The sequence below is a fragment of the Homo sapiens genome, chromosome 3 (genome assembly GCF_000001405.40).
Source record: "Homo sapiens chromosome 3, GRCh38.p14 Primary Assembly".
NCBI classification, from domain to species: domain Eukaryota; kingdom Metazoa; phylum Chordata; class Mammalia; order Primates; family Hominidae; genus Homo; species Homo sapiens.
In genome coordinates, this window is record NC_000003.12 from 9,972,751 (window position 1) to 9,984,884 (window position 12,134).

The following is a 12,134-nucleotide window of genomic DNA, read 5'->3' on the forward strand; positions in this document are numbered from 1 at the left end:
TGAGACTCCGTCTTGAAAAAAAAAACCCAAAAAACTTTAAAAACTGATTCCAATGAAGTATTGCAAATTAGAAATCCTCATCTTTTTTTTTTTTTTGAGATGGAGTCTCACTCTGTCGCCCAGGCTGGAGTGCAGCAGCGCCATCTCAGCTCACTGCAAGCTCCGCCTCCTGGGTTCATGCCATTCTCCTGCCTCAGCCTCCTGAGTAGCTGGGACTACAGGCACCCATCACCACGCCCAGCTAACTTTTTGTATTTTTAGTAGAGATGGGGTTTCACAGTGTTAGCCAGGATGGTCTCAATCTGACCTGGTGATCCGCCCGCCTCGGCCTCCCAAAGTGCAGGATTACAGGTGTGAGCCACCGCACCCAGCCAGAAATCCTCATCTTTAAGGGACACTGGTTTTAGATTTTGGTTTGTGAGGTTTTTGTTTTCGTTTTTTGTTTGTTTGTTTGTTTGTTTTCAGACAGAGTCTCGCTCTGTCGCCCAGGCTGGAGTGCAGTGGCGCAATCTCAGCTCACTGCAAGCTCCGCCTCCTGGGTTCATGCAATTCTCCTGCCTCAGCCTCCCGAGAAGCTGGGACTACAGGCGCCCGCCACCACGCCTGGCTAAGTTTTTGTATTTTTAGTACAGACGGGGTTTCACAGTGTTAGCCAGAATGGTCTCGATCTCCTGATCTCATCATCTGCCCACCTCGGCCTCCCAAAGTGCTGGGATTACAGTCGTGAGCCACTGCGCCCGGCCTGTTTTCGTTTTCTTGAGACAGGGTCTTACTCTGTTGCCCAGGCTGGTCTCAAACTCATGGGCTCAAGTGATCCTCCCGCCTTGGCTTCCCAAAGTGTGGTTTGTGTTTTTATTAAACAAAAGAAAGTTCTTACCAGGATGCATCTAATGTGAGTAGCTCGATTCCTTGCTGTAACATAGGCTTAAAACGGAGGGTCAGTGGAAATGGGACCTTGGCTGCAGAGAAGAAAAAGTTCACAATCACTCTGAGCTGTTTTATTTTTAGAATAAGTGTGACTCTTTCTCAGAGGAGGTGGGAACTCTGTGCCACATAGCTTTTGGAAAACGACTTCCACAAGGAAATCTGTGGCAATTTCTGAAGAAAAGACAGTCAAAATGCCACTCTGCTCTAGTTTCCCTGAATAATATCTGCCTCTAGCTTACTGAGGAAGCAGGGACTCAAACTGAGCTGTGACCTGAAATTTGGAAAAAACTTGCAGCAAACTGTCAAACTCTAAGTGGAATATATAAGCATAGAATTATGTTAATAAGAAACCAAATTGATTAAAAGCGAATCAACTTACAAACAAACAGAAAACTCACCCTAACATCTAGCAAATGAAGTCAAAATAGAAATACGCTTCCCTTTATCCTGCTCAACGAGAATACCGTATTAGTTTTGGAAGTAAGCTAGCAAGTCACTTGCTTGAATCTAATCTGGCTAAAAAGCATCCACGTCATGAACTTAGGATCATTTTTGGGCAAAAGCCGTAAAAGTCATCACATATTAAATTTTTTGTTCAAGGACTATTATCAGTTTACAAAAGAAAACACAGGACCTGTGATATTAGTGTCTCACTAGCACTTGAATTTCTCTGGGTAACATGAAGTCGGCTGGGTCTGTAACTTACTTGTGACAAAGCCTGAGAATGTCATGTTGATCCATCCACCAATAAGAATCATAGGGAGGACATTTGTTACATTCCCTTTCATCATGTCTGTCAACATAGTAGGATCTAAGACAAAAGCACAAACAAGAAACCACTAAGTTTTACCTCTGTTGCCAGGGACTTTCTCCTGATTTTCTGTAAACTGTTTTTTTTTGAGACGGAGTCCCGCTCTGTCGCCCAGGCTGGAGTGCAGTGGTGCGATCTCAGCTCACTGCAAGCTCCGCCTCCCAGGTTCACACCATTCTCCTGCCTCAGCCTCCCGAGTAGATGGGACTACAGGTGCCTGCCACCACGCCTGGCTAATTTTTTGTATTTTTAGTAGAGACGGGGTTTCACCGTGTCAGCCAGGATGGTCTTGATCTCCTGAACTCGTGATCCGCCTGCTTCGGCCTCCCAAAGTGCTGGGATTACAGGCGGGAGCCACCGCACCCAGCGTTTTTTTTTTTTTTTTTTTTTGAGATGGAGTCTCACTCTATCGCCCAGGCTGGAGTGCAGTGGCATGATCTCAGCTCACTGCAACCTCCGCCTCCCAGGTTCAAGTGATTCTCTTGCCTCAGCCTCCTAAGTAGCTGGGATTACAGGCACACACTACAATGCCCAGCTAATTTTTGTATTTTCAGTAGAGACGGGGTTTCACCATGTCGGCCAGGCTGGTCTTGAACTCGTGACTGACCTCAAGTGATCTGCCTGCCTCGGTCTCCCAAAGTGCTGGGATTACAGGCGTCAGCCACCGTACCCAGTCTCAATATTTTTAATGTCTGCATAGGATTCCATGGTGTGGTCACACCAATCACTTTTGAGTAGACCTATCGATTGTTTCCATTGTTTTTGCCAATAAACGATAAATGATGCTGCCGACAATTATCTTGCACATACATCTGCATGTTTATGTGTTTCCGTAAGAGAATTTCTTAGAATTTCTAGGTCCAAGGATTTGTACATTTAAAATTGATAGATATTGTCAGACTGTCAGCAAGGCCCCACCTCTTGCCACTCCCGCCAATGGTGAGGGAGCCTAACTTCCTCGACCTTGACAATAGTGGATCCTGACAATCTTTTCAATCTTTTGACAGCTTACTGGGCTAAAAAAAAAAAAAAGAGATATCTTGGCCAGGCACGGTGGCTCACACCTGTAATCCCAGCACTTTGGGAGGCCAAGGCGGGCGGATCACGAGGTCAGGAGATGGAGACCATCCTGGCTAACACAATGAAACCCCGTCTCTATTAAAAATACAAAAAATTAGCCGGGCATGGTGGCAGGTGCCTGTAATCTCAGCTACTCTGGAGGCTGAGGCAGGAGAATCGCGTGAACCCGGGAGGCGGAGCCTGCAGTGAGCCGAGATCGCACCACTGCACTCCAGCCTGGGTGAGAGAGCGAGACTCCTTTCTGAAGAAAAAAAAAAAAAAAAAAAAAGATATCTTGTTTTAATTGATATTCCATGGATTATTAGTGAGGTCAAGTAACTTTTCATATATTTAATGGTCTTTTGTTTCTTGTAAATTTTCTTAAAAATTTGTTAAAAAATTAACTCCATACAACCTTAGTCACTCTCAAAAAAAATTAATTATAATACCTTCCGTATGGGTTTAAAATAGCTGGTTATCTCACCTAAAGAAGTGAATAGTACTAAAATGAGAGGAGTCAACACAGAACAACAAATTACTTTGTTTTACTTTTAGTTATTTTTATTTTTATTTTTCGGAGATGGAGTCTTGCTCTGTCGCCCAGGCTGGAGTGCAGTGACGTGACCTCAGCTCACTGCAACCTCCACCTCCCAGGTTCAAGCAATTTCCTGCCTCAGCCTCCGGGGTAGCTGGGACTACAGGCACCCACCACCACGCTAGGCTAATTTTTGTATTTTTAGTAGAGACGGGGTTTCATCATGTAAACCAGGCTGGTTTGAACTCCTGACCTCAGGCAATCAATCCACCTGACTCAGCCTCCCAAAATGCAAGGATTATAGGCGTGAGCCACCACACCTGGCCTGTTTTACTTTTAACATGCTATATTTTTCACATGACTGGTATCAGTGGAAGTAGAAAATGTTAGAGCCAAAACTGTAGGGTAGACCAAACAATCACGTCTAACAACAAAGTCAACAAAATGGCACATCTTGGAAGTACTGCACTCTTCCTCATTTAGGCAGAAGCTGGGCAGCCATCTATTGGAAGGGGATCCAGGCACTGGGTGACAGCCAGGCTGGAATGCTTTACCAACTGTGCTCCCTAGAATCCTGGGTCCTGAGAACAGCAATAAGGAGAGACCCAGGGACAATAGCTCTGGCCTCCCCACTCCATCAGCTGAGAACTATTTTTTTTAATCCACTTTATACATTGGGGTTCTCAGAAAATCTAACTGAAAAAGAGAATTCCACTTCCATAGATCCCTGTATCAGATGATTTCTAAGGTCTAAGATTACTATCTTTTGCAATTTAACATTTAAATAAAATGACACCCTCCCTGCCTACCCCACCCCACTCAAATACCCATGTTAAAAATCTTCCTTAAAGATGAGTGAAGGGAACAAACATACCAGTCATAGGAGAAGGTGGCACTACCTTCCGTTTAGTTTTTTTGAAAAATCCATCCTCTGGGTTGTTGAAATAATATTTTCGTGTCAAGAAAGACTAGTAAAAAAAAAAAAAAGTGTTTTAAGTCTAAGAACTATGACACAGCAAACTGTTAAATTACTCCCCAGTGGCTTAGTCAGAAGGCCTTTAGGATATGCTGTTCCGCTCAGAGCTGTCAGCCTACTTGGCAGGCGACCTGACACTTTAGCTGAGTCACATTTAAAAACAATTTCCTAAGAAGGGTGAGGTCACCATGAGAGCAAACACCACCAGGCCACAGCTTAATTACTAAGTTGCCAACCTTTAGCTTTCCCCAGAGCCCCCTTATAAAACATTCAGATATCTACTGCCCAACAGTGAATCGTGGAGCTTTTTAATAAAAGATAAATGAGTACCTGTTTGGGAATGTATTTTCCATTTTCCCTGAGGACTCTGCTTCGAATTAGGACTTGACTGAAAAATACAACCAACACAATGAGATTTTAAAAAGTGAAACACTAGAAGAAAATGGGAGAGTCAAGTAGAAGACCTATTTAAACACAAGAGAGGGCCTATTTGGCAACAGCTCTGTGTGGAAACTTCCCAAAATACAAGTATCTTTAAAACCAACGTAAACTTATTTAACCTAACTACTAGGTTTTCAGAAAAGTATTTTTCAAAAGTGACTGTGTTTCTGAACACATAAATATTTCAGAGTTAGGTACATTTGGGACATTACACTCAGCTTTTTCTTATTTGATAATAAGCTAGGAAGACACTTTCTCTGAGTGAAAAGAATAGTTGAACACTGCTCAGGAGATCTGGGGTCAGGAGAAAGGGAGAAGAGTGAGGATAAAAGAAGGAATTTCTTATTACCTACAGAGAAATGAGAACAGGCCTTGAGAGGGTTGCTATCTGATGGACAAATAGAAAATCTACCCAGAAGTCAGACTGTTAGAAAGCTCTCAGTAAACATTTATTGAATAAATAAATGAAATTACTAGGTGATCTTAAATCAACTATTAGAGCCATAGTTGATCAATAAATATCATGCTAGGCCAGGTGCAGTGGCTCACGCCTCTAATCCCAGCAATTTGGAAGGCAAAGGCAGGTGGATCACTTAAGCCCAGGAGTCTGAGACTAGCCTGGGCAACATAGCAAGACCCTGTCTCTAAAAAAAAAAAAAAAAAAAAAAAAAAAAAAAAAAAAAAAAATTAGCCAGGCTGGTGGCACGTGCCTGTAGTCCCAGCTACTCAGGAGGCTGCAGTAGAAGGATCACCTGAGCCCAAGAGGCAGAGGTTGCAATGAGCTGAGATGGCGCCACTGCTCTCCAGCCTGGGCAACAGTTAAGACCCTGTCTCTAACAACAAAAAAAGAATACAGTGTTATGCAACAAATGGGTGTTGCTAAGATGCAAATGACAAAACAGAGATCAAAATATTAATTTTTTTCTAGGTACTCAAAAGTTCATTAAAGGAGGAAAAGAGGAAAAGGCCCTTAAAGTAATGGAAATAGTCTTGAAACGTGAAAAAAAATTATGAACAGAAATGAACATAGTAAAACCTGTGCTTGGTAGGGGCCAGGCGCAGTGGCTCACATCTGTAATCCCAGCACTTTGGGAGGCCGAGGTGGGCGGATCACGAGGTCAGGAGTTTGAGACCAGCCTTGCCAACATGATGAAACCCTGTCTCTACTAAAAATATAAAAATTAGCCGGGTGTGGTGGCCTGTGCCTGTAATCCCAGCTACTCAGGAGGCTGAGGTAGGAGAATCACTTGAACCAGGAAGGTAGGGGGTTGCAGTGAGCCGAGACGACGCCATTGCACTCCAGCCTGGGGTGGGACTCCATCTCAAAAAAACAACAACAACAAAAAACAAACAAACAAACAAAAAAACTGTGCTTGGCTTCCTGTCTCTACTCAATACAAACCACTTGTTTTAAACAGTCAGTACCCCGGGGTTTCCCCTGTCACACTACACATATTCTAGTTTCTCCACATGCTGGGAATGTTCCAGTGCCCTTTCCTTTCCGAGTTCTACTCCATCATGCCTTAACATCTTCAAGTCTCAGCATCTCCACGAAGCTTTTCCCAATGCCTGGAGCCCTCGTGGAATTCTCTCTGCTTCCTCCTCCTGAGCTCATTATGCTATACAGTTCTCTACTTTATCTACAGGGCGCAACATGTAATACATTCTGCTCCCTGGATGCTAGTCTAAAGATACTCAAAGTGTGGTGAATGCTAGTCTGTGATAAGCACAGACACTGAGAGTAAGGATTTAGAGACTTTTATAATAATTTGACATTGTCACAACATCCAGATACATGATCAAAATATTTTACAAAAGTATTAGCCTATAAGAGATTAGAAATTTAAAAAACAAAAAACCCCAAAACTGGTCCTTCACCATTGACAGTATAAGAAGCACTGGGTCTAGAGTAATGGGTAAAAACTTAAGCTCTGGAGTTGAACACATGGGTTCAATCCCACCTCTGCCACTTATTAGCCATGTGATCTTGAGCAAGTCACTTAAATTCCCTAAGTCTCTATTCATATTCTGTACAAGGGTAGATTTATTCTTTCATTGAACAAATATTTCTTGAACTTCTAAGTGCCAGGTGACATGAAGAACGGTGATCAAAATACAAATATCTTACGATGGTCAAAGTCTAGTGAGGGGGAAAGACATTAACCAAATAACCAGAGGAATAAATGTGAAATTCAATTATCATGTCCTAGAGAGAGATGGATGGTATTGCAAGAGTGCATAACCAGGAGGTGATGGAGTCTGGAAAGTCAAGGTCTGAGAGTTTGCTGAGGATGTAGGATTAAGCTGGACTCTTCAGGATGAGTGAGGATTACCTTGGCAAAGTGCTGGTGTAAACAAAATGGGCAAAAGCCTCGTAGAAGTAAACACTCTGCCTCTGAGGACCTGAGAAAAGGCCACATGACTGGAAAAAGGAGAACTATAGAAAATGTGATGAAAACAAGACTTGAGAGGTGTGCAAGAGCCAGACTATACAAAATCATGTGGTCTCACTGTATTTTTTTTTTTTTTTTTGAGATGGAATCTCACTCTGTCTCCCAGGCTGAACTGCAATGGCGCAATCCCAGCTCAGTGCAACCTCTGCCTCACGAGTTCAAGCAATTCTCCCGCCTCAGCCTTCAGAGTAGCTGGGGTTACAGGCGCGCACCACCATGCCCAGCTAATTTTTGTATTTTTAGTAGAGATGGGGTTTCACCATGTTGGCCAGGCTGGTCTCGAATTCCTGACATCAGATGATCCGCCTGCCTCAGCCTCTCAAAGTGCTGGGATTACAGGCATGAAAAACCATGCCCAGCCAGGTCCCACTGTATTTTGATCACTGTCTTAAGAGCAAAAGGAAACTAATGAAGGATTTTTTTTTTTTTTTGAGACAGGGTCTTACTCTGTTGTCCAGGCTGGAGTGCAGTGGTACAATCTTGGCTCATGGCAACCTTGACCTCTGGAGCTCAAGTGATCCTCCCATCTTAGTCTCCCGAGTAGCTAGGACTACAGGCACACACCATGACACCTGGCAAACTTTTGTGTTTTGTTTTTTTTGTTTTTTTTTTTTTTGTAGAGACAGGGTCTCACTATGCTGCCCAGGCTGGTCTCTAACTCCTGGACTCTAGTGATCCACTTGCCTCAGCCTCCCAAAGTGCTGGGATTACAGGCGTGAGCCACCACACCCAGCCAAGTGGAGAATTTTAGGCTGAGTTCTTCACATATATGATCTTATATGACTGTACCTGGCACATCCTAAGCACTAGATTAATAGTATCTGTTATTTTTTCCTTTGCATATTTTATTACTTGAACAGAAACTCTGAGAGCAGGGTCGTGACCTTGTCTTACACTGTACCCCACAGCATGCAGCAGAGTGCAAGGCACATGATAGGCCATCAAAAGGCCATTGTTCACAGCCAGGCGTGGTGGCTCTCGCCTGTAATCTCAATACTTTGGGAGGCTGAGGTGGGAGGATTGCTTGAGCCCTGGAGCCCTGGAGTTCAAGAACAGCCTAGTCAACATAATGAGACCACTGTCTCCACAAAAAAATTTAAACATTAGCCAGGTGCAGTGGCGTGTGCCTGTAGTCCCAGCTACTCGGGAGGCTGTGGGAGGATCACTTGAGCCCGGGAGATCGAGGCTGAAGTGAGCCATGATCGCACCACTGCGATCGCAGCCTCAATCACTGCAGCCTCAACCTCTTTAGTCCAGCCTGGGTGACAAAGCAAGACCCTGTCCCCAGAAAAACAAACGAAAAAACACTTGTCCAGTCTACGATAACTCAAGACTTTCCCAGGCAGTGTAATCAAGAGAAATTCATCTAAATCTCCTACAATTACACTGCTGAACAATTTTGTAAAAATGAAGTTGAGTATTGTGACCCTGAGGTATTTCAAGACCTAAATAAGCAATCTTAAATTATCCTGTATTTTCTAACACTCACTTTCTTAAGCTGAGATCCATAGCTGTGTTCTCTGAAGTTTGCAAATTCTAAAAGAAATTTTTAATTTTGTATTTTTATTTTCATGAATATCTAAAAATAAGTCTCTGTACTGTTATAAAGCTTTGTAATTTGCAACTGAAGGACATCTTTTATTTATTTATTTATTTATTTTTTGCAGAGACAGGGTCTTACCATGCTGCCAAGGTTGGTCTCAAATTCCTGGGCTCAAGGGATCCTCCCATCTCAGCCCCCCAAAGTGCTGGGATTATAGGTGTGAGCCATTGCACCAGGCCTGAAAGATATTTTCTTGGAATAAAACTTTAAAGTCAGTACTTCTCAAACCAGAGTTCCAAATTCTTAAGAATCAGTGTTTCTTCCTTTCCAAAATGTCAGTAGTATATTTGTCAAGTCTGAGAACCATTTTTTACACATAATCTATCCCCAAACCTAGTCTAATATATTTCATTCATGTATTTTACAGCTTTGGTTTAATACCTGTTAAAAAAAATTTTTTTTTTTTTTGAGACATTGTCTCATCTTGCTCTGTCACCCAGGCTGGAGTACAGTGGCGTGATCTCGGCTCACTGAAACCTCTGCCTCCTGGGTTCAAGAGATTCTCCTGCCTCAGCCCGCAGAGTAGCTGGGACTACAGGCGTGCACCACCACCCCAGCTAATTTTTGTATTTTTAGTAGAGATGGGGTTTCGCCATGCTGGCCAGCCTTGTCTCGAACTCCTGACCTCACGTGATCCACCTGTCTCAGCCTCCCAAAGTGCTGGGATTACAGGCTTGAGCCACCATACCTGGTGCAAATGGAAATTTTCTTTTTTTTGAGACATAGTCTTGCTCTGCCGCCTAGGCTGGAGTACAGTGGCATGATCTCGGCTCACTGCAACATCTGCCTCCCAGTTCAAGCGATTCTCCTGCCTCAGCCTCCCGAGTAGCTGGGATTACAGGCGCGTCCCACCATGCTCGGGTTATTTTTTGTATTTCTAGTAGAGACGGGGTTTCACCTTGTTAGCCAGGATGGTCTCAATCTCCTGACCTCGTGATCTGCCTGCCTCAGCCTCCCAAAAGTGCTAGAATTACAGGTGTGAGCCACCGTGCCCTGCTGCTAATGGACATTTATAGTATATTTATTAAAATGTTTTATATCGCTGGGTATGCCTATACCCAGTGGCTCATGCCTATAATCCCAATATTGTGGAAGGCCGAGATGGAAGGATCACTTGAGCTCAGGAGTTTGAGACCGGCCTGGGCAACGGAGGAGACCCCATCTTTGCAAAAAATTTAAAGATTAGCTGAGCGTGGTGGCACACGCTTATAATCCCAGCTACTCGAGAGGCTGAGGTGGGAGGATCCTTGAGCCTGAGATGTTGAGGCTGCAGTAAGCCTTGACTGTGCCAGTGCTCTCCAGCCTGGGTGACACAGCAAGACTTGTCACTTAAAAAAAAAAAAAGAAAAAAAAAGTTTTACAACTAAAACACACCTTTTTCTTGGACTTAGGCTGGTTCAGCATGTACAGCATTTTGCTCAAGTCAAATGATGACCTGATGAGACTGAGCCACTCCATGTCAGAGCTGGTATAATCCAACTACCTCACTTAAGGGATGCAGCAATTATGAGCAGAGACATTTTCTCTAGAGCAGTGGTTGGTTCTTCATGGGGGTGTTACTGCCCTGTAGGGGGCGTAATGGTAATCTGTGGAATTTTTTTTTTTTTTTTGAGACAGAGCCTCCTTCTGTGGCCCAGGCTGAAGTGCAGTGCAGCCATCTCGGCTCTCTGTAACCTCTACTCCTTAGGTTCATGTGATTCTCCTGCCTCAGGCTCCCTAGTAGCTGGGATTACAGGCACATGCCACCGTGTCTGGTTAATTTTTGTATTTTTAGCAGAGATGGGGTTTCACCATGTTGGCCAGGCTGGTCTTGAACCCCTGACTTTAAGAGATCTGCCCACCTCAGCCTCCCTAAGTGCTGGGATTACAAGCATGTGCTACTGTGTCCGGCTGTTACATTCCTTCTTAAGGAAGCGTTCTTGGCTGGGTGCAATGGCTCACACCCTGTCTCTACTAAAATACAAAAATTAGCCAGGCATGCTGGCGCATGCCGCTAATCGCAGCCACTCGAGAGGTTGAGGCAGGAGAATCACTTCAGCTGGGGAGGCAGAGGTTGCAGTGAGCCAAGATTGCGCCACTGCACTCCAGCCTGGGCAAGAGTGAGACTCTGGTCTCCAAAAAAAAAAAGGTTCTTGTAAACAGACTACACTAACTGTGAATTTCATTTTGTGGTTACAAAAGAGAGCTTTGGATCTGATATAATTCAGAACCATTGCTCTAATAGTGAACCATGGGCAGAAAATCATGGCAGAGAATCTACGACAGCAGGAATCATGGTTGAAGAGGGTTTAACCTGGGAGTGAGACTGATCTGAGTTCAAGTACAGGCACAATATTTCCCTACTTTGGGAAGACTACTTAACTTTTCCAGGCTCCCTGGAATTGTAAAAATGGGTTAAGGAGTATCTGCTTCAGTGCTAATGTAAGGCTAAAATAAGAAATTTTACAGGTGCCAGAAAATGCTAAATGTCTGAGCTTTCCCCACTTCGCACTTTTCTACAGCCCTTCTTTCTGTGGTAAATACACTTTTTTTTTTTTTTTTAAATGAGATGGAGTCTCGCTCTGTCGCCAGGCTGGAGTGCAGTGGCATGATCTCGGCTCACCGCAACCTCTGCCTCCCGGATTCAAGCGATTCTCCTGCCTCAGCCTCCCGAGTAGCTGGGACTACAGGCACGTGCCATCACGCCCAGCTAATTTTTGTATTTTTAGTAGAGATGGGGTTTCACCATGTTGGCCAGGATGGTCTCAATCTCTTGACCTCATGATCTGCCTGCCTCGGCCTCTCAAAGTGTTGGGATTACAGGCGTAAGCCACCACACCCGGCCAGTAAGTTGACTTCTTTTCTGTTTTTTTGAGACAGAGTCTTGCTCTGTCACCCAGGTTGAAGTGCAGTGGCGCGATCTTGGCTCACTGCAAGCTCCGCCTCCTGGGTTCAAGCAATTCCACTGCCTCAGCCTCCCGAGTAGCTGGGACTACAGGCGCCCAGCATACCACGCTCAGCTAATTTTTTGTATTTTTAGTAGAGACGGGGTTTCACCATGTTAGCCAGGATGGTCTCGATCTCCTGACCTCGTGATCCGTCCGCCTCGGCCTCCCAAAGTGCTGGGAGTACAGGCATGAGCCACCATGCCCGGCCAGTAAGCTGACTTCTTAAGGTTCGCTCCAGGGTGGGGTGCTGGCTCTGGTCAGTTCTGAAACTAATGCTACAGAAAGATAAAGTGATCGCTGTAGTATAGTGGAAAAAGCCCAATACCCAGAAGGCTTGGTGTGAAGTCCTAAATGTCACCCTGTGTGACGCTGTAACGCACCTGGCACTCTTCTCAACGAACG

The 12,134-nt window shown here is 44.4% G+C and overlaps 1 protein-coding gene across 3 annotated transcripts in view, besides 1 other annotated feature; it reads right to left on the reverse strand.

Annotated features, from left to right (window-relative positions):
- Positions 1–12,134, reverse strand: part of EMC3 (ER membrane protein complex subunit 3) — a 48,437-nt gene that overhangs the window by 10,069 nt on the left and 26,234 nt on the right. For all 3 annotated transcript variants that reach the window (NM_018447.4, NM_001394674.1, XM_005265321.4), the window contains 4 exons: positions 4,639–4,696; positions 4,207–4,300; positions 1,634–1,738; positions 878–959 (listed from right to left, as the gene is read on the reverse strand). In NM_018447.4, the coding sequence (NP_060917.1) occupies positions 878–959; positions 1,634–1,738; positions 4,207–4,300; positions 4,639–4,696 (339 nt within the window). The remainder of the gene's footprint in view (positions 1–877; positions 960–1,633; positions 1,739–4,206; positions 4,301–4,638; positions 4,697–12,134) is intronic.
- Positions 3,679–4,878: an enhancer, noted in NCBI's record as "MED14-independent group 3 enhancer chr3:10018113-10019312 (GRCh37/hg19 assembly coordinates)". NCBI's record gives its function as "activates an origin of replication core promoter dependent on BRD2, BRD4, P300/CBP and CDK7 cofactors, and independent of MED14, by STARR-seq in HCT116 cells {active_cell/tissue: HCT116}" and the evidence as "EXISTENCE:reporter gene assay evidence [ECO:0000049][PMID:35650434]".